Source organism: Homo sapiens, chromosome X (genome assembly GCF_000001405.40).
Source record: "Homo sapiens chromosome X, GRCh38.p14 Primary Assembly".
In the NCBI taxonomy this organism is placed as follows: Eukaryota; Metazoa; Chordata; class Mammalia; order Primates; family Hominidae; genus Homo; species Homo sapiens.
The window spans coordinates 49,820,654-49,847,222 of NC_000023.11; the positions used below are offsets into that span (position 1 = coordinate 49,820,654).

General features: G+C 41.0%; 1 protein-coding gene across 3 annotated transcripts, besides 3 other annotated features; it reads left to right on the top strand.

Moving 5' to 3' along the window:
* Window positions 8,554-9,054: an enhancer, noted in NCBI's record as "H3K4me1 hESC enhancer chrX:49593810-49594310 (GRCh37/hg19 assembly coordinates)". NCBI's record gives its function as "activates a minimal SCP1, AML or CMV promoter by ChIP-STARR-seq in naive H9 embryonic stem cells {active_cell/tissue: H9 hESC(naive)}" and the evidence as "EXISTENCE:reporter gene assay evidence [ECO:0000049][PMID:30033119]".
* On the top strand, window positions 8,607-13,611 carry PAGE4 (PAGE family member 4). Of its 3 annotated transcripts, none has more exons than NM_001318877.1 (5): window positions 8,607-8,643; window positions 9,746-9,853; window positions 10,344-10,431; window positions 11,872-11,997; window positions 13,193-13,611. In NM_001318877.1, the coding sequence occupies exons 2-5, from the start codon at window positions 9,776-9,778 to the stop codon at window positions 13,207-13,209; spliced, it is 309 nt and encodes a 102-aa protein (NP_001305806.1). In that variant the 5' UTR covers window positions 8,607-8,643; window positions 9,746-9,775; the 3' UTR covers window positions 13,210-13,611. The 3 variants fall into 3 exon arrangements, with proteins under 3 accessions (NP_001305806.1, XP_047298634.1, NP_008934.1); XM_047442678.1 differs by lacking the exon at window positions 8,607-8,643 and adding an exon at window positions 8,650-8,712; NM_007003.4 differs by lacking the exon at window positions 8,607-8,643 and adding an exon at window positions 8,650-8,698.
* Window positions 15,514-16,014: an enhancer, noted in NCBI's record as "H3K4me1 hESC enhancer chrX:49600770-49601270 (GRCh37/hg19 assembly coordinates)". NCBI's record gives its function as "activates a minimal SCP1, AML or CMV promoter by ChIP-STARR-seq in primed H9 embryonic stem cells {active_cell/tissue: H9 hESC(primed)}" and the evidence as "EXISTENCE:reporter gene assay evidence [ECO:0000049][PMID:30033119]".
* Window positions 22,113-22,407: an enhancer, noted in NCBI's record as "tiled region #10598; HepG2 Activating DNase matched - State 5:Enh". NCBI's record gives its function as "activates a minimal TATA promoter and a strong SV40 promoter by Sharpr-MPRA in HepG2 cells {active_cell/tissue: HepG2}" and the evidence as "EXISTENCE:reporter gene assay evidence [ECO:0000049][PMID:27701403]".

The window sequence follows — 26,569 nt, forward strand, 5'->3', positions numbered from 1 at the left end:
ACATTGGTAATATACTACTAACTAAATGATAAACTTTATTCGGATTTCATTAATTTTTCCACTAATATCCTTTTAATGTTCCAGGATACCACAATGCATTTGGAGAAGTTTTTCTTTTGATTCTATTAACAGTTTTAAGAGCACAATGCAAAACTATCAAATTTTTATGAAGTCTGATTTATCAATTTTTTTCTTTCATGAATTGTGCTTTTGGTGTCATGTCTAAGAATTCATTGATAAACTAAAAGTCTCTTTTTATAAAACTTTCTTGAAAACTTTTATAGTTTTACAGTTTACATTTAGATATATGACCCATTTTGTGTTAATTTTTATATATGGTATGAGGTTTAATAGTGGTTAATTTTTGTTGCATATGACCATCCAATTTTCCTCATACCATTTACTGAAGATACTATCCTTTATCTGTAGAACTGCTTTGGCACCTTTGTCAAAAACCAACTGGCCATACTTGTGTAGGCCAATCTCTGGATCCTATTCTTTTTCATTGATCTATGTGCCTTGATTACTGTCACTTTATAATAATTTTAAAAATCAGATTGTTCAGTGTCCAGATCTTAGTTTCTAAATACCATTTCTTAATACAAGGAAGCCAAAAACCTGGAGAAATGGCTGATTCTAGAGCAGGTGAACTTGTCTTATCATGCAGTGCCAGCAAGTAAACAAAAGCTAAAAAACCAAAACAAAAAAAGATGACTGTGATATCAAAAGTGTGTAGGAACCAATCTGAAAGAGGTCCCAATGTCTAAGCTAGAAAAATCTGAGTCACAAAACACATGGCAACTGTATTGGAATAGAACTCAAAAAATAAAAAGGAATCCATGAGTCCATACTGATATAAATGAACAATTTAATAAGTAAATAAATGGAGAAGAGACAGATCTTTCTTATGGAATAATTCCAAACAATAAATGTAGAAGGAATAAATGAAATAGAAAATCACTATTAGAACAGCACAGTAATAATTGCTCTAGGTAAGGTCCATGGATTAATACTAAAATTAGACGCCTAAACGTTAAGGAGAAAAAGGTTATTTGCATTGCCTCAAAGTATTTCCCCTCAAATACGCATTAGTTACTGTAGAGATTTTAACATATATCCACAAATTCTTTTATATTCTTCCCCGCAGGAGGTGGAGCTTAACTCTCTTCCCCTTGGGTGTGAGCTGGACTTAGTGATACACTTCTAATGAATAGAATAAGAAAAGGGGAAAATAGTAATTTTACAGTGGAGAAACTTGACATACATCATCTTAATCAAGTGATGAAGGTTAATGTCACCAGTAAGAATTCATGTTTACATCACGTACCCTCTGATATGATGTGATGAGAAGGGTACTTTACCTCAACAGTATTCTTCCCCAAAATCCATTATCCTAGTCCAATCATGAGACTCAATTAAACTCAAATTGAGGGGCAGTCTAAAAATTACCTGCAAGCACTCTTCAAAACCAGTTAATGAGATTCCTCCAACTTTCTTACTTTTTTTCAAAATTGCGTTAGCCATTCTAATTCATTTGCTTTTCCTTATAGATTTTCGAATCAGCCTGTCTTATATGTACAAGAAGTTCTCCTAGGATTCTGATTAGTATTGTGTTAAATCTATATATCAATTTGCCTTTACTATGTTGGGTTTTCAAATCACGAACACAGCATGTATTTCCACTTATTTAGGTCCTCTTTGACTTTTATGATCAGTGTTTTATAGTTTTCAGCACACAGATTCTGTACATATTTTGTGATATTTATATCTAGGCACGTCAGTGTTTTGACTGTAAATGTTTTCTTAATTTCAGTTTCAAATTCTATGTTGTTTTTATTTGTTTGCTTTTTTTTAAATTATACTTTAAGTTTTAGGGTACATGTGCACAATGTGCAAGTTAGTTACATATGTATACATGTGCCATGCTGGTGTGCTGCACCCAGTAACTCGTCATTTAATATTAGGTATATCTCCAAAGGCTATCCCTCCCCCCTCCCCCCACCCCACAACAGGCCCCGATGTGTGATGTTCCCTTTCCTGTGTCCATGTGTTCTCATTGTTCAATTCCCACCTATGAATGAGAACATGCGGTGTTTGGTTTTTTGTCCTTGCGATAGTTTGCTGAGAATGATGGTTTCCAGCTTCATCCATGTCCCTACAAAGGACATGAACTCATCATTTTTTATGGCTGCATAGTATTCCATGCTGTATATGTGCCACACTTGACAGACGCTCACTTTGTCGCCCAGGCTGGAGTGCAGTGTGGCACGATCTCAGCTCATTGCAAACTCTGCTTCCCAGGTTCAAGCAATTCTCTTGCCTCAGCCTCCCAAGAAGCTAGAACTGCAGGTGCGTACCACCATACCTGGCTAATTTTTGTATTTCTAATGGAGATGGGGGTTTCACCAAGTTGGCCAGGCTGGTCTTGGACTCCTGGCCTCAAGTGATTTGCCCACCTCAGCCGCCTAAAGTGCTGGGATTATAGGCCTGAGCCACCATGCCTGGCCCCAATTATATGTTGTTAATATATAGAAATCCAATCGATTTTTGTGTGATGACCTTGTATATTGCTGCCTTGCTTAAGTTACTTGTTGGTTCTAGGAAGGTTTTTTTTGTAGATTTCTTGGGATTTTCTATGTAGACAATTATGTTGTCTGCAAATAGGGTAATTTTACTTCTTCCTTTCCAATCTGAATGCCTTATATGTCTTTTTTCTTGCCTTGTTATGCTGGCTAAGACTCCCAGCATGATGTTGAACAGATGTAGTTAGAATAGAAATCTTTGTCTTGTTTCTGATCTTTGGAGGAAAGCATTCAGTCTTTCACCATCAAATACAATGTTAGCTGTCGGTGTTTTGCAGATCTCTTTACAAATTGAGAAAATTTCCTTCTAGTTCTACTTCACCAAGAGTTTTTATCATGAATGGATGCTGTATTTTGTCAAATACTTCTTCTGCATCAATTGATATTATCATATGATTTTTCTTCTTTAGACTGTTAATATCAAATATTAAATTGATTGATTATTGAATATTGAATTCGCATTGCATTCCTGGAATAAACTTCCTATGGTTGTGCTGTATTATTCTTATTGCTAGATTCAATTTGCTAATATTTTGTTGCGGATTCTTACATTTATGTTAGTGACAATCCTAAGAACCCCAAATATTTATGCATCTAATAACAGAGTCACAAAATACATGATGAGAAATACACGAATCTACGATTACGTCTGAGATTACAATATTTCTTTCTCAATAATTGATAGAACATGTTGGCAGAAAATCAGCAAGGATACAATAGACAATAATCTGAAAGACACAAACCACCAAGCCTCACTCAGGAAGAAATAGATAAGCTGAATAACTCTGTATCTGAATAACCCTTTAAAGAAATTGAAATTGTAGCTTAAAAATGTTTCCAAGAAGAAAACTCCAAGCCTAGATGGCATCACTGAAGTATTCTACCAAATATTTAAGGAAGAAGTAATACCAATTCTATGCAAAATCTTCCAAAATATTGAGGAGGAAAGAATGCTTCCCTACTCATTCTATGAGGCCAGAATTTCTTAATTCCAAAATTGGACAAAGATATTAATAGAAAAGGAAAATATAAATCAACATCCATCATAAATATACATGCAAAAATTCTAAACAATATTTTAACAAATTAAATCCAGCAATGCATTAAAAGAATAATACATCATGACTGAATGGAATTTATTTCAGGAATGCAGGCTGGTTTAATACTTGAAAATGAATCAATAAAATTCACCTTATTAACAGCTAAAAAAGAAAAAAAATATGATTATTTTAATAGATGCAGAATGTTGAAAACTTTTGCCCTATGATCAGGAACAAGACAGAGATTTCCACTTTCCCCACTTGTGTTCAACATTGTAGTGGAGGTTCTAGGTAGTGTAGTCATGGAACGAAAGTAAGTAAAATGCATGCAGATTAGGAATAAAGTAAAATCGTCTATTCACAAATAACACAATTGTTTACGTAGAAAACATGATAGAATCTAATTAAACCAATGAAAATCTACTAAAACCAACAAGTGAGTTTAGCAAAATTGCAGGATACAAGCTCAATATAAAGAATAAGTTGTATTTCTGTCTACTAGCAACAAACAATAAAATGGAAATAAAAACAATACCATTTACAATATCATAAAACATGAAAAACATAAGGGATAAACCTGACAAAATATATGAAAAATCTATACATTGAAAACTACAAAATATTTCTGAGAGAAACTAAGACCTGCATAATTGAAAAAACACAAAAAAAGAAAAAAAAAGACCTACATAAATGAAGAGATATATCTTGTTCACGGGTCTGAAGACTCAATATTGTTAAGATGTCAATTCTCCCCAAATTGATCTATAAATTTGGTGCATTCTCAATCAAAATTACTGAAGGTTTTTTGGGGGGTAGAAATTGACAAGCTGATTCCATAATTCATATGGAAATGCAAAAGACCAAGATTAGTCAAAGTAGGATTTCAAGAGTTACTACAAAACTATGTCACAGTAGTGTGACATTGGCATAAAGATAAACAAATAGATTAGCACAGCACAGAGAGTCCAAAAATAAACTCACACCTATACAAACAACTGATTTTTGGCAAAGGTATACAGGTAGAGACATAACAACCAGCAAAGGCCAGCATGACCAACGTACCCTCACTAATTACCTGTGAAGGGATACATGCATAAGAGGAGGCTTGCCCAAGAGAAAGAAGTCCAAAGCCAGATGAGCTTTCTAGCACAAGTGAGAGGCCTGCACACCATCAGTGAAGACTGAAGTGACAAGCACAACTATGAAATGGGGCTCAGTTGGCACAGAAAGGTGAACCTGGTGGTTTCTATATAAGGAGACTGGGAAACAAGGGCTTCTCCTTCCGATGGTGGAGCTGTCAAGGACAGAATCTTCCTTCCTCTCCAGTTGCTTCAGGTGAACTACTCGGAAATGCTGACGCTAAGTAATAGCTATCTGAATAGATATGAGCATGTGTGCAGCAACTGAATGGGCATGAGTAGTATTTGAAGGAGTTCACAGGTAGTTGGAGTAACAGTTTAAAATAACATACTTTGTCAATCCATGTCAAGATTTCCAGGAACTCTCCTTTGCAATCATGAAAATTGCCTTTATGTTTACCAGTCAGTGTTTAGAAAAATCATCTCACAAAATATTTATATTCATAATATTTATATTCATGCCCTTATTGTGGCATACAGTAGGTCAAAGGACACCAGAGAAAAGATCCTCCTCTGACCCACAGCCTCGGTCTCCAGCTCCAGTGGCCTCTGCAGTTTGCAAGCATGCTTCCAAGACTTAGCACATGATGTTTCTTCTGCCAGTCCTGCATTCTGCACATGTGGGCACCTACACCATATCACCTCTCATGGATGGTGCTCATGGGGTTACTAAGCTTCTCCTTGAGCTGAGGGATTCAAAGGAACTACTGGATCCATAGGGTAGCACAAGGTGAAGAAGCATACATGTTTATGTTTATGATTCAGGCTTAAACCAGAATCGGAAAGATACAGATTTAATTCCAGGCATAACTTGCCAGAGGGTGTGACATTAGACAAGTTGTACATACTCTCAAGCCCCTATTTCTTCATGTAGGAATTTTTTTCATGAAGAAATGTTTAAGGAAGTGGACTGAAAATGGTTCATGAGGATGTTTGCTGCAGCATGAATGATCATCTAAAATGATAAATATATGGAAACACATGCACTAAAATGACAAATAGAAGATAGGTTTTTAATGAATGCTGGAACTCCAGAGTTATTTCTTGATTCTCCTCTTTCTGATTTTGTGGATTGTTTATGAGCATGAATTACTTGAATAACAATGTTCAAACGTATTATTTATCAAAAGTGCAAATTCAAATAGTAGTGTGGTGTTTCCTCCCATCAAATAGCAGAAAACAGTAGAATTAGTCAATTTTTAGTGATTGGATTATTTGTAAGGAGCAGATATCACCTGTGACATAAAATGAATACAATGAAAGTGACATCTATAATCATCACAATGATACAAACAAGGGCTTGGGATCACCTACATCGTTGATCAGAGTGCTTGCTTTGCACTAATGTTGCCTGAGGATGAGGTTCTCTGGGAAGGCTCATGGTGCTGGGCAAATCGGGATTTCTTTTTCAGTTCAGATCTAAGCTCTCACACAGAAAGGACCTTACCTGTCCTCTCACTCCTTCACAGCATCCTAGAGAAACTTGATCCTATGCAGAGAACACAGCAGCTGCCAACCGACAGGCACCAAGGTCAGGGAGGCAGCAGGCTGCAGATAGCCTTTCCAAGTGATAATAGGAAACACCTGAGAGCTAATGAAAGCACTTTACCTGAGGAGAAACAGGAGGCTGAGACTAGAGCCCACAGTTTATACTGATTGCAGAGTGTGAGATCTCAGTCTCTCAATAAATCTTTATTTAATCTACATAAAGATCTGAGTAGTAGGAGCAGCTCCTGCTTAGATATAAAAAGTGGTTATCCCTGATTGGTGATATCAAGGAAGAATTATATATTCTTCACACTTGGCTCTGTATTGACTCTACATCTTATCTGTAGGAGAGAGGGAGAGAAGGAGAGGGAGATCTGGCAATTCTACTTCTGCCATGGGGGATCTTTCTAACTCTCAAAGAATGTGCGCTTCTTTAAGGGTAACCTGCAGAGTCTGAGAACGGTCCAGGTCCAGGCATGCACGGACAGAAAGGATATTTTTCCCCCAGGGGTTTAGCGGGGGCAGGAGGGGTTGGACAGGGATGTGCAGGGCAAGCTCCTTTCTGTCTTGCAGGCACCCATCTAACTTTTGCCCAAAGCAGTAACAGTGGGCTTCTGTCCCCCTACCCCCAACCCCCCACACCTTCTCTGACAGCAGAGGATCAGACCACCTAGGTGATGGTGAAGCTCTTTGACGTGCACCAGGTGCAGGAGACCTATGACCCCTAGCACTGCCTTTTATCTGCTGGGTTCCCCTTGGAGAACCATATATCTTTGGAGCCCCAGAACATGCTGGTTGCACAAGAACAAAGCACACTTACTGTCTGAGAGGAAGGCTGGTGGTGTGGTAGCACTATTGAACCTCTCTTTTCTTTTGAGATCATATTGTACATACACAGTGCTACATAACTGGATGTTTCAAGTTAATAACTTAAAATGAACAGCACCACTATTACAGGAAATATTATTCAGCACTGGTTTTGGTAGTCACCCATATTTCATTTTCAAGTGTGCCATAATTTACTTATATAGCAAGTCCATGACCATGCTATTATAAATTAAGCTGTTTTGGAAGTCCCATGTATCCAAATTTTTGTTCACATGGTTAAAGAAAAAAAACATTCAGTGGTAGTTGTTAAAGCACAGTAAGGAAAACCTTATTTAGGACTGTGGTGATGGGTATAGGGACCATTGCAATGGGATCTTGCAGTGGGGGAGAGAGATTGGGCTCAATACTGAATACAGCGCAGGCCAGTGGGAATGTATAGCGAAGGAGCAGTATGGCGGTCCGTGGGTGGAAAATTACTAAAAGGAAACATCAGGGGTAAGGGGGATTCTGGCTAAACCCACCTAGCAGGATTCTTGCTGAAGACAGGCCAAGGGGAATCAGACATCACCTGGGGGATGGTGGAAGATGAAGAACCCCATGCGATAGCAAGTATGATCAGATATTGAGGATGGAGGGTTCATGCCACATTGACTTAGCAGGGCTCTTTGCTAAAACTGGGTTTTACAAGGAAATGCACAGATGGGCCTAGGAGGAGAAGTTTCAGAAGCCTGACTTAAAAGTTTGGCCAAGCAAGGAATATTTGTCAACATTCAAGACAGTTTCCTTAACATTAAAGTCCTAGAAGTAGAAATGCTGGGTCACAGGATTTTTTATTTTTTGAGACAGGGTCTTGCTCTGTTGCCCAAGCTGGAGTGCAGTGGTGTGATCTTGGCTCACTGCAACCTCAACCTCCTGGGCTCAAGCTATCCTCCCACCTCAGCCTCTCAAGTAGCTGGGACTACAGGTGTGCACCACCATGCCCAGCTAATTTTTGTATTTTTTGTAAAGACAGGGTCTTGCCATGTTGCCCAGGATGGTCTCGAACTCCTGGGCTCAAGAAATCCACCCACCTCAGCATCCCAAAGTTCTAGGATTACAGGCATGAGCTGCCGCACCTGGCCTGGATTTTTGTGCAAATGTTTAGGCTTATTTATGTATGTGGGTTTATCATCCTTCTCCTTTACATTTTTTTCTGGATTCCTATCATGCTTAAAATGGCTTTGCACTCTCTGAGAACCTAAGCTTTCACGCATCTCTGGGAAGACTGAATACCCTCTTAAGGGCCACTGAGGTAGCAGCACTGAGAAAAAATTAAAGGGTAAATTTGCAGGTGAAATGCAGAGCTGGGAACATTCCTAGATCCAGAAGGACAGAACATTTTGCAGGAGGGGCCAGAAGCCAGAAACAAGCCCTTCTCAGCACCGAGCAGGCCCTTCCTCCAGGTGGCACAGAGCCTCTAGGAGGCGGGAGAGGGCTGGAAAGACAACCCACGTGACACACCCCCGAGGTTTGGGATTGGCTGGTGGGGTTGACACTGCTGAGGTCTAAACAAGGAGGCAGAAGTAGGTAGGTGCCACTTCTCTTCCCTTCATTCTTCGCCAGGCTCTCTGCTGACTCAAGTGTAAGTGAGAACAGGTGTGAGTGAGTGGGCCGGCGGGCTTCTGGTGGGTCGGGCACTGTGGTCCCTGGCCTCAGAGAAGGAAGGGCCTCGAGGTCATCATCCTTCTCCTAGCAGGCAGCTATGCGGCGGGGCAGGGACAGGGGAGGAAGGAGGGCCATGAAGGGGAGGAGGGTCAGCCAAGATGCTGTGAGTTTTGGAGCGGGACACTATCTGAGTCCTGGAGGCATATGAAACTGTCCATAAAGGACGGATGCTGGGGTCCTCAGTGGGGGCCAGGGAAAGGGTGGGACAGCCCGCGCTTGACAGCGCCTGCCTCAGTGCTCGTGTTCACTGGGGGTCTTCCCATCAGCCCCTTCACCCACGAGGTGAACTGCCGCGGAGCTGTGAGGGTGCCGTTTGCATTCCAATTGTCGGGACTCTTTCACCTGAGACTGAGACTCAGTGGGTGGGTCCACCGATCGTTCCTCCATGGGAGTTTAAGTGTGAAGAGGAGCTGGTGGGCTTCAGGAGGGTCGGGCAGCACAGTCCGTGGCCTCGGAGGAGGAAGGGCCTCACAGGTGGTGGCGCCGCCATGACCTTGTGGTTGTGGCAGGGCTGGGGCGAGGGAGGAAGTTGGGCCACGGAGGGGAGAGGGATCAGATGGAGCAAAACTTGGGGGGTACTTTTTGAGGTATCTTTGAGTCCCAGAGGCACCTGAAACTGCCGAAAGAGGACAGGTTTCGGAGTTCTCAGTGGGGACCTGGGGAGGAGGGGACCTGGGGTGGCTGTATATTAAAAAATCTCTTCATAATGGAGTTTAGTTATGAAATTAAGTCTCTTTAGGAAAGACCCCATGTTTTGATCTAGGACTTGAAGATCACTTCTCTGCCGAGCTGGCTGTGGAAGAAACAAAGCAGTTTGCAGATAGATTTATTTGATGTGATTGGAAACCAGGCGTAGTTATTATTAACTCAGGACCTATTATGGAAATCTCACAAAATTAAAAAAAATTACAATCAGCAGATGGCCATGGAAAGAGTCAAGTATAATTACTCCTTTTTATTGCAGTCTTCAGTTCACGATCTTCTAGTTGCAGCGATGAGTGCACGAGTGAGATCAAGATCCAGAGGAAGAGGAGATGGTCAGGAGGCTCCCGATGTGGTTGCATTCGTGGCTGTGAGTACATTTCAGTATCTTATTTCCATTGGCAGAAATGTATTTTTCTGAAAGAAAATCTAAAACATTGTTAACCAATATAGATCTGTTATATAAAGGACTTCCCTGCTGAAAATAGTTGCAAACTAAATCACATTAATGAGACATTGAGCAAGGAGACTTATTTTCTGATATTGTCTGCATATGTATGTTTTTAAGAGTCTGGAAATAGTCTTATGACTTTCCTATCATGCTTATTAATAAATAATACAGCCCAGAGAAGATGAAAATGGGTTCCAGAATTATTGGTCCTTGCAGGTAACTCCTTAAAGTATATTCTATATAGGAAGAATAACTTTTCTTAAGAGTACTTACAGAGAAGATAGGAAAAACCTCTTCAGATTTATTTGTGACTAGCTACCTTCACATAGTATGTATATTTGTGACTTCTATTGCCATGATATTAATAACAATATTCTATTTGCATCTACTCTCCCCCACCTCTCAAAAGCCCGGTGAATCTCAGCAAGAGGAACCACCAACTGACAATCAGGATATTGAACCTGGACAAGAGAGAGAAGGAACACCTCCGATCGAAGGTGAGAAGGGCATGGAGGAGCATTTTGTGTTTCATGTATGATTTTATACTAGTAACAGGAATAAATAAACCATCCCCTAAAAATTGGCTGGAAACCTGTAAAGTAATCCTTGGTAAGGGAATAGTGTAGTTTTCAGCTGCTGTAGTCCTTGTGATAAATTTTCTCTTCAGCATTTTACTTATCTTATATCTTAAGAGTTCTTTGGCATACTTGGAAAATACAATCCTTGCCAAGACTCTATATTAGCAAACAAAAGGAAACTACATTAAATTTAGACAAAATTGTAAACTGTTTCATGAGTTAAACTTGGTTTTATTGGGATATTATTTTTCTGGGCATAAGTCATTGCATTAAAAGTTTGAGCAAACCATATATTATGGTTAGATCTTACATAGCAATTTTTAGAAAATGTCATAATTCAGAGAAATAAAAATGTGAAATCCTTTTAGTTACCGTTAAAAGTCTTCAATACTTTTGTCTTTCTGAACCATAATCTGTTTGTCATATATTTATTTTTTAACTTTTTACTTAGAAAGGACTTAAAATGTAAGGAAAAGTTATCCAAGTACAGTGAACTCCTGTGTATTCTTCACCTTGATTCACTGATTGCTATAACATTTTGCCATTTATCTCCCTGTTTTTACCATATTAATATATTATTGCTGAACCACTTGAGAGTTTCAAATATCACAACTGTTTACTCTGTAAGTAATTCAGTATGTATCTGCTAAAAATATGGATAATCTCTTAAATAACCTCAGAACAGTTATCAAATTCAGGAAAATTAGCATTGAGAAAACATCTAATATATAGTCCATTGCAGTTTTGTCAATTGGCCTAGGAATGTCTTTTATAGGATTTTTTTCCTGATCCAGGATCTAATTCAAGACTACTCATTGCATTTAGTTGCCATATCTCTCTGGTCTTCTTTAATCTGGAAGTGTTCCTCAGTCTTTCTTTGCATATCATGACATTGACAACTAGAATCCAAACCAATTGTTTTGTGAAATGTTCTTTAATTTGGGTTTGTCTTATGTTAATATTTTTACAGACATTTTTTTCATTCATTTACTGGGGCTTGCTAGGTGCCGGGTAATGTACTAAGTGCTGAGGATATAAATGAGATAATGATTTCTGCCTTGAGCTCACAATCTAATCAGGGAAATTCATGTAAACAAATAACTGCTGTAATGAGTGATTTACAGTAACAGAAGTATATGTAGATTGTGAAAGTGACAACTAAGTTGTCTTAAACAGTCGTAGGAAAAGAAAACTTCATAGTAGAGATAATATTCTTCCCCATTTTCTAGTAGAAAATTCCAATGCCCATTGCACTCATGCATCACATTTGTTAGAATACAAGCCTACAGAGCTTTATTTAATAACACTAATTTATAATTTACTGCTTACTTATATCAATAACTTTTTTATTTATATAAGAACGTAAAGTAGAAGGTGATTGCCAGGAAATGGATCTGGAAAAGACTCGGAGTGAGCGTGGAGATGGCTCTGATGTAAAAGAGAAGACTCCACCTAATCCTAAGCATGCTAAGACTAAAGAAGCAGGTACGTTATTCATTCGGAATGGAAGTCATGGGGTTACTCTTTTTCTATAATATACTTTAATAACAAGTCTCGCATACAAATATTATTTGAAAGGTAGTTCAGACACCAAATACTTGATTCAAAGACAGTGTCAGGGGAAAAATGAATTAGGTCAAAGCCATGTTGTTGAATTATAAAATATGAAAGTATTATTACTTTGGAGTAGAAATCTTCCAAAACTCAAGGCAAGTGATCAAATACTTTTAAAAGTATATACATTACTTAACATACCCCAGGGGCAATTGGGTATCTAAATGACACATAGTGTTCCTTTAAGAAAAAAATTTGCTAGAATTGTTTATCACAAATCGCTTTTAGGCACTAACAAGTAAGATAGATCTGTATGTTTTGAATTTTCCAAGTTGGTTTGTTGATTTTTTAAAAAACTGTGAGCTAGACTGAGAAACAGTAGCAGTTTCCCTCACATTTTAATGTCATCTATATGGTAGTGGCTTAAATAAACCAATAAGACCATGTATATATTTTTTAACGTGCATATCTGGCCTCCAACCATGTAATTTTTATCATCTAAATCAGGACACTTTTGAGAGGGAAAGGGAATGCTATGAATACAACATCAGGTTAACAGGTGCCAATGAGACAAATGGCCACCCTGGTATAAAGAATCCACATAAAGATTTAACTAGATCAATGAATTATTTTTGCACTTTTGCTCAAAGAGACAAACCAAATGGAATGGCATTCTTTGACCTCTCTTTAGTCAGCTAAACAATTCCTTAGCTAATATATAATTAGCAGAAAGTTTTTAGTCAATACATTTGAGTGACACTGTGTTTGCTTGCTTGTTTTTTGCTTCTTGGACTTTTTGTTTGATTAAAAAATCAAAACAAAACAAAACTGAAATCAGTGGCTGTTTTTGCCCTCTACTTAAAATGATCTTTAAATGGGCTCATAGCATTTAATCTGTTCTGGCTTGAGAAGTCTTTGTTTCCTTGTACCACTAGAGTGAGGCATTTTAAAAATTAGTACACATATGCCTGAAAATGTACATTAGCATAGAAGTCTATGCAGTGGTTAGCGTTCTGGTTTTAATTTCATCTTAAGAAACCAAAACTAGTGTTCTTTGTGTGCTTTTAGTGTCATCTCAGTAAAGTTCTGCTAAGTAATGAACTCAACTGTTATGTTTATATTTTAGGAGATGGGCAGCCATAAGTTAAAAAGAAGACAAGCTGAAGCTACACACATGGCTGATGTCACATTGAAAATGTGACTGAAAATTTGAAAATTCTCTCAATAAAGTTTGAGTTTTCTCTGAAGAAGTCATGCGTGTCTTTTGTAAAATTTATTCCTAGGAAATTGACACTATTGTAAATGGTATCTTTAAAAAATCCTTGTGTTCTGTTTAGAGCTGGTATATATTTTTGTATACTGATTTTGTGTTGGGCAACATTGCTAAACTTGCCTATTCTGTTGGTTTATCCCTACGTCCTTTTGGATTTTCTCCATACACAATCATACCACATGTAAATAATGATAATTCTGTTTTTTCCTTTTGAGGCTTTGTACTTTCATTTCTGGTCCTTATGACACTGGCCAGACCCCTCCAGTACAATGTTGATTAGAAGTGATGATGATGTGAATTCTTGTCATATTCCTGATGTCAAGAGGGAAACTTTCAACATTTCACTATGATAGGTTTTAAAAATATATGTAGATTCCTTCTATAGGTTGAGTATACCTAATATGAAGTCCTCCAAAATCTGAAACTGTTTGAGTGCCTCCGTGATGCTCAAAGGAAGTGCTCATTTCAGATTTCAGATTTTCAGATTATGGATGTTTAACCAGTAAGTATGATGCAAGTATTCCAAAATCTGAAACAGCATTTCAGGGATGGTATACTCAACCTGTATTAGATTAAGGACTTTTCAAAAAATTCTTAGTTTTCTAAGAGTACTTACCATGCTCACCATGAATATATGTTGAATTTTATCAAACACTTGGTCTGCATCTATTGAGGTGTATGATATTTCTCCATTAAGCTGTTAATATAGCATTCCTAGAATAAGCCCAATTTAATTTGTGATATATTGTCCTTTTATGTATTACTGGTTCCTTTTCCTAATGTTTTGTTTAGGATTTTTGCACTTTTGTTCACGAGCTTGACCTATAAATTTTTAATACTCACTCCATTCAGGCCTTGGTATCAAGGGTATTCTGGCTTCATAATATGAGTTAGAATGTATATTCTTCTTTTATTTTTCCATATAGTTCAGCTAACATTGGAATTCTTTCTTAAATGTTTGATAGAATTTGCCAGTGAGGATATCTGGACCTGGAGTTCTCTCTGTAGGGAAGTTTAAAATTGAATCAATATCTTTAGTCACATTAGGACTATTTCAGTTTTCTATTTCTTCACTTTGGGTTTTATTTTTCTAGGATTTTGTCCATATTATCTAAATTTTTGTTATACAAAATAGTCCATAATATCCTCTCTTTATCCTCTTAATGCCTGTTTTCATTCATAGAACTGATCATTTGTGTCTTCTCTCTTGTATTCTTGATCAATGTCAGGGTCTTTTCAAAATAAACTAACTTTTGGCTATCCTATTTTTGTTTTACATTTTGTGAATTTTGGCTCCCACGTTTATTCTTTTACTTTGTGTTTAATTTGCTGTTTTTAACTCCTTGAGATAGCTGTTTAGTTCATTAATTTTCAGTCTTCTTTTTAATGTATACTTCATAACTTTCTCTCTAATGAGGGCTTTAGCTGCAGTCCACAAATTATGATATTTAGTATTTTTGTTATTCAACTCAATATTTTCTAATTCACATTATTTCTTTGAACGATAGATTACTTGGAAGTGTATTTCTTCCAAACATTTGAACACTTTCTAGCTGTTGTTGTGTTACACAGTATAGATAACTGACAATATCTGTTTACAAAAGATACATCCAAAACATAAAAATTTACAGAAGTTGAAAGTAAAAGGATGGACAAAAGATATTCTGCACAAAATAATTAAAATAGGCTTTAAGGCAAATGAGCATTACTAGGAATAAAAAGGGGTATTTCACAGAGAAAAGGTTCAATTCACTAGGAAGATTTGATTTTAAATGTGAGCCTAATGTGGTTTCAAAATATGATGGGAAAATTGGCAGAATAGGAAAAGAAGTTGGTAACTGAGAGAATAAGCAGACAAAAAGCAATAAGGAGGTGGGGCTCTTCCTTACTGGCAAACTAAGCACTTGGCTTTGTCTGCCTTTAAGGTAGCCTAACACTGATTCTTACCCTGAGGAGGGGATGTGGAGCAGACCTGCTGGTGAGCTCCTGGTCTTTCCTTTAGGTTGTACTCCTCCCAGTCCATCACCAGGTATTGGAACTGCTGTAGGTATGCAAGGAAATCTAATACAACCTGGACATCATTTTTACTTTCTACATGTGTCACCTGGTGGCAAGAGAGAGGTGGCAGATAGAAGGGAATGGCCTCATAAACTGGGTGCGTCATCACAGCAAGGAACTAGTTTTAGAGATTCATTGCAAGCCGCAAAGGGCAGACATTTATTGAAAGGATGCTGGAATGCTTCAAGCTGACTCAGGAAGGATGGGGCCCAGGGCGACCCTCAGTTGTATGGGAACCACGCTTCCTCCTTTCAAGGGCTCCTGATTCCTGAGGACCAACTCCTGCTGCTAACCCTAGGAGGCCTCCCCATCCCCTCCCTGGAGGAAGGGGTCAGGTGGAGAGCTGATGTCCCGTGCTGAGCAAGGAGAATGTTGCTAGGGTATGTATACTCAGGCAGCACAGCCACACAAGCCAGACAGCGTGCACTAGGCTACAGCCAGCCACCACCAGGACTCGGGGACTGGACTCTTCCTAGAACACTCTTTCTCCTCCGACCCATGTCCTGATGCCTGCCCTGGGCTGCACTCTCTGGGACCAGCAGCTACAGCCCGACACCCTCGAGCCATGCCCCAGGTCTGAGCCACTTACTCTGGGCACACTCTTCATGGGCTTTGGGGTCCTGCTGCCCAGTGCCAGCAGCCCCTTGGCACAGGGGTTCCCAGAGGCCCCTCAGCCCCATGTCCAACCCCTTCTCCCCGCTGGCAGCTAGCTCCACAGGCTTCTTTCCACTTCCACCTGCTGCCCACCTGGGGACGCTGCCAGGGCTTAAGGGTCTTGGGACTGTGTCCTGTAGTTTAGGCCCCCTCTCAGCTGTAGGGGAAGTGCCAGCTGTAGGGATGGACTTGTCATGCCTCATCCCTCCAGCTGGCCTTGGAGAGAAGAGCTGGATTGTGCCCCCGGGCTGCTCAGCATCTGCTGGGCCAGAAGGCTGGCTGCCAAGCCATCAACCCACCTATGGCCTTAGGAGCCCAGAAGGAGACAAGGAGCAAGCCCAGACCCTGCAGAGCGCTGATAAGATGGGCCAGGGACATGCCTCTCCAGGCCCAGCAGCCTTGGGAGCCACAGCCGCTTCGGAGCTGGGGTCCAGGCCTCCCCAGAACTGCAGCTGGAGCTTCATCCTTTTCTGGGAAGGGCAGGACCTGGGGTGGGAGGGGAGACTGGGATGGGGCTGGAGGCAGGCTCGGCTGCAGAAAAGATGGCCTGTCACAGCTTCTGCCTGCACTCCTCAGGCAGGCTCCTTGGAGGGGACATTTCACAGCCTCAGAAACATTTCTGGAATTGGCACCCACTTGGCCCCCAGCTCTGTAGTGGCTGGGGGAAGCCTGCATGGAAGAGGGGAAGAATAAGGGAGGAAGATCAGAGCTGTAAAAGGGGATACAAAGCCTGTACTCTACGACCATTGTGTCAGGCACAAGGTACTATTCCAGAAGCCTTTGCTGAAGTGCAATGGATAGTACCCTGGATTGGGGATCAAAAGAACTGAGTTGGCTTTTGATTCTACTTCTGAAAAACTTTGTATAATAACATGTAGATGATCCTCTTTGAGTCTTAGCTTTATTGCTTGTAAAATGCAGATAATTCCTCCCTCCCAAGGATTCTATATAGATTGAGATAAAAAAAGTGCGAATGTGCAAAGTAAACATCTAGGCCTGTCCTAAAGGCACTGTGAACGTTGGTTGCATCCAAATCTGAATTTTGTCTGGGACCAGGGTCAGGGACCAGAATACACCAGAGCTGAGGGCCAGCCCTACCTGAGAACCATCAACAAACTTACCCCACATCCCATTATACCTCCTCACTCCCTGCAGCCTGTCAGCTTCCCCAATCTCCCACACTCACTGTCACCTGGGGCTCTGGTGCACCAGATGACACTACTTGCTCCCTGGTACACAGGTGAGTGCAGCCAGTGTCATACCCAAGGCCTCTAAATGAGGTCCACAGGCAAGAGCCATCCCAGCCCACATCTGATATCCAAGATGCAATGCTAAGTGGAAAAAGCACTGTAGAACAGTGTGTGGAATATGGTCTTGTTTATGTGTGTGTGTAAGATATAGGTATAAAATATACTTCAATATTCATAGAAAATTTATGGAAGAATACACAAAAATTGTTAACAATGGTTATTACTAGTTCTACAGGGATGATAAACAGGGAGGGGTGAGGACTGTATCTTTACTAATTATCATCATTTGAATATTTTTGCCATGAACATGTGTTACTTTTATAATGTAAAAGCACTTAAAATCAAAAGATGTAGATAGTAAATTAATATGTAGATATAGATAGATGATAGATGGACAATAGCGGTAGATAAATGATATGAAAATAGCTAAAAGCTAAACCAGACAGATATATCTGTGCATTGGTTTCCTCACGTGAAATGGTACCTATTTCATAGGATTATTGTGAGGATTAAATGACTTCATACGTTCGAGTCCTTGGAACAGTGCCTGGCACACAGTAAGTGCTCAATAAATGTTTTCTTTCGGATAATACTGGTGTGGAGATGGTGGAGGAAGACAGGCTGGCTCGATGTGATAATCTCTTTCGCCATCTTGTGGTCAGTGGGGCACAGGCCACACAGCAACATTAATGCCAATTAGCAGCATGGGTTCACTTTGCACGTTTTCAATCCTCTTCATAGGTAAGTGTAGGAGTTCAGGCCTTAGGGATGGAGGACCTAGGACTTTTAAAATCGAAAAAGAGCTTAAAGAAATAAACAAATAACTTTACAAATGGGTAGCCAGAATAGGACTTAGAGACCCCTACTCTAGTCATCTTTGACACCAGATGCTCCTGATCCCTAGTCCTGTCAGTGTCAAAAAGAAAGCAAATTGGCGGTCCCCTGTTTTTTGTTTTGTTTTGTTTTGTTTTGTTTTGTTTTCAGGTTCCTCTTTTCCTGTCAGGCTTCTTAGTTGTATCAACAGAACCAATTTTAGCTTACCCAGAAAAGGGATTTTTGAACACCTATTGAGTAGCTCAGGGAAACCTCAAAAAGGCCAGAGAATCTGGTTTGGGAGCTAGGTGGCCACGAGTTGCAATCCTACCCCCTCTGCGGACAGGAGCTACTGAGGCTGAGTCCAGCACCACTAGGATATCTCTTACAGTTGTTTGTGAAAACTCAGTACGGCTGCTTGTGAAAACTCAGTGTCTCTCTGACACTGTCACCAGGCATAGCTTCTTCTGTTCTTCTGATTTCCGCTGGTCTCTTCACGTGTTTCTCCTGATTCAAAATCTGAATGGGGAACATCTAATTGGTGGAGCCTAGGGCTCACACCTCTCCTCTAGGCTGAGTTCTGGTTTCCACCTTAGGGAGGAAGGACTCTTTTTTTTTTTTTTTTGGAGACAGATTCTTGCTCTGTCACCCAGGCTGGAGTGCTGGAGTGTAGTGGCACAATCTCAGCTCACTGCAACCTCCTGGGAGGAAGGACTCAATGCAGGGCTTCTCCAAAATTTAAAAGGGCTATTCAGAAGAGCCTGGGTAGGACAGGGGATGATGATGCTCTGACTTTGGGAAAACAGCATTGAGCATGTGTGCTTCAGAGTCCCACATCCCTTCTCCAGGTCCTGTCTATCTAGCTGTAGGTTCTACATATGACCCAGGCAGTACTGGGAATCTAGGTCTGTTTGACTCAGTGGTCAGGCCGGGTATGGTTGCACATGCCTGTAATCCCAGCTACTCGGGAGACTGAGGTGGGAGGATGGCTTGAGTCCAGTAATTCAAAGCAGCAGTGAACTATAATCATGCAACTGCACTCCGGCCTGAGTGACAAAGCAAGACCTGCCTCTTAAAAACAAAAAAATGGTGGTCAGACTCCATATTGATTATTAGGGGACAGGTCATGGTGATACCAGATGGAAGGATTTTTTTGGACAGGGAAGTCCATGGGGGCGGTGGGGCACAGGTTCCATGGCCGACTGGTTTACCACTGTATTCAACAGCAGCTAGCTTGGTGCCTCAATACATGACTGAAAGAATGGTGGAATAAGAGAACAAACTAAGCTGGCCACCTTCCTTCTGTAGTTGTAAAATTTCACTGACACTTAGGGCCCCTAATTTCGGAAGAAACCTAAGAGATGTGTTTTGGAGGTGTCTTGTTAGATAAGGGAGATCAAGAAAGGTAACTCCACTCATACCAAGCTACACCTTCACGTAGGGTTTCTGACTCCCATCCAGGAGGTGACTCCCCTCCACATTTAGTGTCTCCACTCAGAGGAAAAGAACAATCAAGTGTGTGCTACAAGATTCTACTGTCCATCCACACATTTTCTTTCTTTCTTTCTTTTTTGCAACAGAGTCTCACTCTGTCACCCAGACTGGAGGGCAGTGGCAGGAGGCTCACTGCAACCTCCGCCTCCCAGGTTCAAGCGATTCTCCTGCCTTACTCTCCTGAGTAGCTGGGATTACAGGCATGCAGCACCACACCCGGCTAATTTTTGTCTTTTTAGTAGAAACGGGGTTTCACCATCTTAGCCAGGCTGGTCTTTAACTCCTGACCTCAGGTAATCCACCGACCTTGGCCTCCCAAACTGCTGAGATTACAGGCGTGAGCCACTGCGCCCGGCCCATCCAGATATTTTCTTGAAACAATTCTGCACTTAGGACATATTTCCAGGAGAAATTGATGAAACATTCCCATAGTGGAATTGCTTGAGATTGCTGGGCCTCAAGGTCTATTGGAATCTAACTTCAACATCCAGCTGATGGGTCAGCCTGCGGCCTCCATATTTCCTTCTATGAATCAATGATGGCAAGTGCCCATCTCTGGCCACGCCAGCTGAAAGGCACAGACCACCAGAGGGAGCAGGTGTGCCTCTTCCATGGTGGAACATGGCACTTCCTGTTTGCCGCCCCCCCCAACCTGCCCTGCTCTGGAAAACACCACTGTTGCTTAGCAACAGGGAAGGCAGTCATCCAGGGCCCCATGTTTCTATCAGTCACCAACCCAAGTGAGACATGGAATGTAAAGGCCTGCCTTCAGATCACATCTACTGTAGCACTTTGGAACTTGCTGGCCACTCAAAATGTGGCCTGTGACCCTTCAACATTTCAGGGGTCCCCAAGACCACCCAGACATTCAGTGAATTAGCTAGGACTCATGGGACTCAGTATATTATTGTACTCATGGCTGTTATTACAGCAAAAGGTTATACAATATGATCAGCAAGAAATAGAAAGAACAGGTGGGGTCTGCAGAAGTCCACGCACAGGCTTCCTCATGCTCTCTTTCTCCTGTGAGGGGGCCCATAGAGCACATCCTTCCCCAAGAATGAAAATGCACAATATGTGGGTAATGTTTTGCCCAGGGAAGCTCACTTAGTGCCCCAAATTTTTACTAGGGTCTGGTCATTAGGCACCCCCTGCCTATTATGTACCCAAGTTCCAGACTCTCGGAAGGAAAGCAGGTGTTCAGAATAAACTACGTTGTTGGTACAAACTGGTTAGGCACTGTGAACCACCCTTCTCAATTAGGGAACATGTCAACTGCTGTCTTAGTTTTCTATTGCTGCCATAACAAATGATCACAAACTTAGAGGCTTAAACTGTATAAATGAATCGTCTAACAATTCTGTAGGTCAGAAGTCCAGCTTAGGTCTCTGGGCTGAAATCAAGGTGTTGGCAAAGTTGTGTTCCTTTCTAGAGGCTCTAGGGGAGAATCCATTTCCTACTCATTCCAGGTCGGCAGAATTCAGTTTCTTGACATTGTAGGACAGAGGTCCCTGTTTCCTTAGGCTGTCATCTGAGGGCCATTCTCAGCTTCTATAGGCCACCACATTCCTTAGCTTGTAGCATTTTCCTCCACCTTCAAAGCCAGAACAGTGAGTCGAATCCTTCTCAAGTCACATCTCTCTGGCCACAGCTGGGAAAGGTTCGCCACTTTTATGGTCTCCTGTGATTGGATTGGGTCCACCCAGTTAATCCAGGATAATCTTCCCATCCCAAAGCCCCAACCCTTAATCATGTCTACAAAATCCTTTTTGCCATGTAAAGTAACATATTCATAGGTCCCAGGGATTAGGACGTGGACATCCTTGCATATCCAGTATTTTGCCTACCACAAGTGCCAAGTTCCTAGATGCCAGCCAAGGGTCTTTCTAAATATAACAGTCTCAGGGATGCTATGTTAACTCTTTTCTGCATACTCATGCATATCTAAAGGAAGGTGACATCATGAGTGATAGGGGATACCCTCTTCCAATATCTTGTAGCCCCTTTCATGCTTAAAATGTCTTGGACTTCATAAACAACTGGACCCGGGGCTCAGCCCACAAAGATGCCTTATAACCCAGATTCCAATATGGCATACACATTCTGACCTTGGGACTGCGCAGTGCTATCCCTTTCCTGCTTCAACCTGGACAGGAGCCAACGTCTAGGAAACTGTTAGGTTACGTTCTCTCAAGCATAGGACTTGACAGAAAATATATTTCAGTTTAAATTCTTAGCTATGTACCAAGAGCAAGTTATTTGTTCTCTGTAAGTCTCATTTCCTCATCTGCTTCCAGGTATAACACACTGTCTTATAGATTTAAATGACAGAATACATACAATAAGGTATGTGTAAGGCAGTGCTTTCCAGATCACAATGGCTAGTGTGCTAGGAGATGGAACATCCAGTAGGAACAAAAACAAGACTAAAGTCTCCTGTTTCAACATGGAGCTTCCTCTAGGGGGAGAAAGAAGAGAAGAGGCAGAGGTTCACTTTTAGGATCTGCCTGGGTCTTTTTTTTTCCTCCTGAGCTCATCACTTTATTGACAAACTTATTTCTCCTTCTTCCTGTGAAGGTGTGATATTGTGAATGATTAACCTTTGTTTTTCACCCCAAGCTCCAGCTTGCCCTTGTACTCTTGGCCCTGCTGCAGATGACAGACCCAAGGCTTCTGCCCCAGGGTAGAGTTATTTCAGCAGAAATGCAAATAGAATCAAAGAGCCCAAGATCAGCATTTGAGTCACAGAAGAGATTTCAGAAAATGTACACTGAGAAAATAGAACTAAACGAAAGGCTTTTTGAGTTGGAAGATCTTAGGTCTTTTGAATACCAAGACATAAGGACCTGGCCTATCGACAGGCATACAAGGATATATGGTTTGTCCAAGGGACTTCCAGCCATCTAAGACTAGATAAAGCTCCCTTACACTAAAGGGAGGGCTGAGAGGGAGGCAGAGAGATACCGATGACATTCAAGGCCAGGGGATTTCAACCTCCATTTTAGACTATGTTGAAATCTTAAGGAGAATCAATCTCTCTCTCTCTCTCTCTCTCTCTCTCTCTCCTCTCCTCTCCTCTCCTCTCTCTCCCTCCTCTCTCTCTCTCTCTCTCTCTCTCCTCTCCCTGCTCCCGACTGGTTTGGGTTCCCTTTCATTTCATCTCCAAATATCACAATGGTATTCCCTGGAGGGCAAGAAAGACTTTTAGTCTGGGCCTTGGGATTGAGGAAATAGAAGAGAATCTGTGGTGTTTACAGACACTAGCACCATCCATTAGGGTAGGAACAGTAAGAAAGCAAAGGTTTGTGTCAAAGACTTGAAGTTTTCCTAGTGTGGGTCTTCAGAAAACCACTTTAGGGCCTCTGAGAAAAAAGACACTGCCATACTGGCTTGGTAGTGAGAGTCAGGTAAAGACCTCATTCCTCCCATTACTGGAACAGCCATGAGGTCTCCTGACAGCAAGGTGACAATGTCCAGATAACAACAGGTGAACAAAATAGCCCTACATACCCAGAGACAGAGCCACTTGCCTTGGGCCCAGCTGTTCACTAAGTCATCGGGTTCTTCCATTTCAGTGCAAGGGTGCCTAGCCAATGTAGTGAGCAAAGGTTGATTTCAAGATTGAATTTTGAGGGATCAAAGTTGGAGCAGGTCAAAATTATTAACAACTCGGCGATGCCCGATCCCTTCTGCCTGCAGCTACTAACACTGCATGGTTCCTAGCTTAACAACCCTCTGAATTTTGGGGAAGCTTCCTGTAAACACTAAATAAAACAAACAATATGTCTTGAGAGCAGTGTGTATTATGGTTAAAAGCAACTGAATATTGTTCCTCCAGCTGGGTTGCATGAATGCATATCAGGGGAACCATGAGTCCCATTGAATTACAGGCAAACGTACTATGCCAGGTGCTTTTCATGCATTTTTCAAGGGAGAAGAGATATAGCGTAATCAGATTCTCAGAGGGGTCTGAGTCTTAAGCCACTGTTGCAATGGGGAGTCTTGGATTTGTGCTTTATTAACTGTGTGTCCTGTGAAAATTCATAGGGAACCCCCATGTCATATTTTCCTGCCAGTAGAGTGGAAAAAACCAATATCAACCCCATAACATTATTGTGGGGAATTAATTAAAAGATGCTTTATAAATAAATTCGTTTTAAATGAGACGTTCATGTGTTCCCTTCCCCATCCCCCAATAAATAGCTCTATTAAATAAAAGGCAACCGGTTGAGATTTTGGATAACAGAGATATGTATTTTTCAAAAATGTATGTGTACACAGTTTATATATGTGGAATAATGATGTGTCTAATCCTGTATTTTTTCAAGAATCATTTTCATAGATTATTTGGCATCGTGTGCTTTAAAATAATGATGATGATGATAATGATAATTCTTTGCACTTGCATAGCCAGTAGTCCTCTCATTTATCTCATCGGTTGTTGACAAAGCCCTCCTCTTACTCTTGTAAATGAAATGAGGCTAGTGCTGGGTCTGCAGTGTTTGGTTGCCATGGTTTAAATTCGTTTCATAAGCTGTTGCTTGGCAATCCCACGCGTCAGCTGGCTCTTTTTCCTCAGCACTCTCGCCACACGCTGTCTGAAGTATAATGAGACTGAGGCTGGGCAAAGGAGGATGGCAGTCCCCAAGCACGTTCCATCTTCCCACACAACACTGTTTGTTACCATGATGCTTGATAAATGTGTTAAAAGCAGAGCAGTGAAGTGGTTGCAAACATGGGATTTAGTGTCACATAGACCTGGGTTCAAGTTCTGGGTTGGGATTTGGCTCAGTGTCTCCTTTGGCCATTCACCTAGAAACCCGTCTCAGTTTCTCCATGTATCAAGTGAGAGATTATAATATGCAGCACCTGGAGTGGATGTGAGAATTGGAGGAAAAAATTCATTTAAAGTACCTGCACACAGTAGGTGCTCAGTAGCTGTAACCTGTACTAATAAGGGTCATGGGAGCTGGTAGAACTATAACTTTCCTTGTTCTGTAGTAAAATGCTCTGATGTAGCAGTCAGTTTGGACTTAATTTGTGTAGTTGTGGCCCACTTTCTTTTATACATAGTATGAGTGGGCTCACTACAAATCCATAGAGTAAAACAGAAATTTATAAATAAACTATCAGGATCAAGGAAAAGACTGGGAGTGTTGTGACTAAAGGAAGACAAGTAGAGATGCTGCAGACAGAACATATCAATAGATGTCCACTCCAGGTAGTGAGTGGGTAGGCACTGTGCATTCAAAGGGGCTGTCATGGGGGAGGCTTCTCTCCTCCCTAGATAAACACATACCCATGGGCAGTGGTGTGCAGGTAAAACAGCTCTCAGGGAGAGAAAAGCCTTGATTTGTAACATTTGCCTATTTCTGTGGTGTAAATACTCCTACCATGACCAATTTTAAACTACCAATGTGATGCCATTGAAGGGAGTGTAGAGTTGGAAAGCAATGCCCACAATTGGCTCTCGGGAGCCCATCAGAGCCTGCTTCAGCGCAGAAGTAATCCCTTCCCTAGGGGAAGCTTTTTTGTTTTTGCTTTTGTTTTTTTTCTCTTTTGTGGACATTTCCAACAAGCTCTTGTATTTATAGCAGTTTAGGGAGGTCAGTTCTCAGGACTGCTCTTCTGGCATTTGATTTTCCCTGATTGGAAGCATATGGCTGAGGAAATAGCCTCTGTTCTGTTGTGCAGGCCCATCCCACATCTCCATAGGCTGACTTCAGCACCCTTTCTGGCTTAAGATCAGGAGCCCATGATCTTTGCAGGATCCAGAGGAGACTTGGGAGCTAGGAATTACCTAGATGAAAATCTTAATTGAGGTAGTATCTTCTCCCAAAGTTATTTTATCTTTTTTATATAACCCAACTCAGCCATACTGCCCTCGTCATAGTCTCTCATACTCTCATGGTCTCTCATATTCATTGTAGCATTCTCAGTGCTACAATGCATGTGACCTTACTATGTTTATATTAGCCACCAAGCAGTTTCAAAATGAATCACTTTTTAAATTCATCCATGCCACTGTAAAGCTGCTTCATCTAATATGACTTCAGTGTAGTTGTCTGATTTTGATAGCTGGAGTAAACAAACTGTGCGTGCTTGAATTCCATTCTGGACTGAACAGTTTCAAGTGTCAGTCAGTGATGCTCATTTGTAAGAACAGGCACATTGACCAGCTTTCAGTGAAAATATGTTGCATGTGTTTTACATTTTACATGGTCCATAATTTGTATTTCCTTTCCACTTCGTATCTGACAATGTCCAGTTAAATGGCTCCTACAGACAGAGTGCCCCAAAACATAGTGTCTTTCTTACGAATCAGCTGAAAAATATCAGGATGTTTATGAGGCAGCAGAACAGGAAATTAGATATAAAACCCACAACTTTCTAAGGAGGGTAGGCCCTGTTAACAGGAGATTTTTTTGTGGGGGCAGTGGGGTTAGATACAAAGTCATGAACCTCAATATAATTAATGGCCTGTCACAGTTCTGAGAGTTTTCAGTAGTGGGTGGAGTGTACAAATTTGAAGGTAGAAGCTGGAAGACACTTAAACTTCCCAGCAAAAGCAAGATCCTTGAGGGAGAGACCAAAGTCAGGGAAAATGGAAGCCTGTTAGGGAGATGGTGCAGGGAGTGAGGGGAGGGGGATCTGATTACTGGAGACTGAAAAGAAAGATTTGTGAGAAGGAATAATGTCTAATGGAGACTTTCTAGTTAAATTCTGTGGGGGGAAATGCTCCTAATACATTTCCCCCAGGACATTTTCATTTAATTCTACAATGCTCACTGTTTAATGGGCACAGATTCTCTATGGTGAATGTGAGTAAAATCGTGTTCCAAGATTTAGATATGGTAGAAAAACAAAGCCCATGAGTCAGGGTAGCAGACATGTGGCTTATATATACTCTCGTGTGAATGAAGGGACATCTTTGCATAGAAAGATCTCATGTTCACCATTA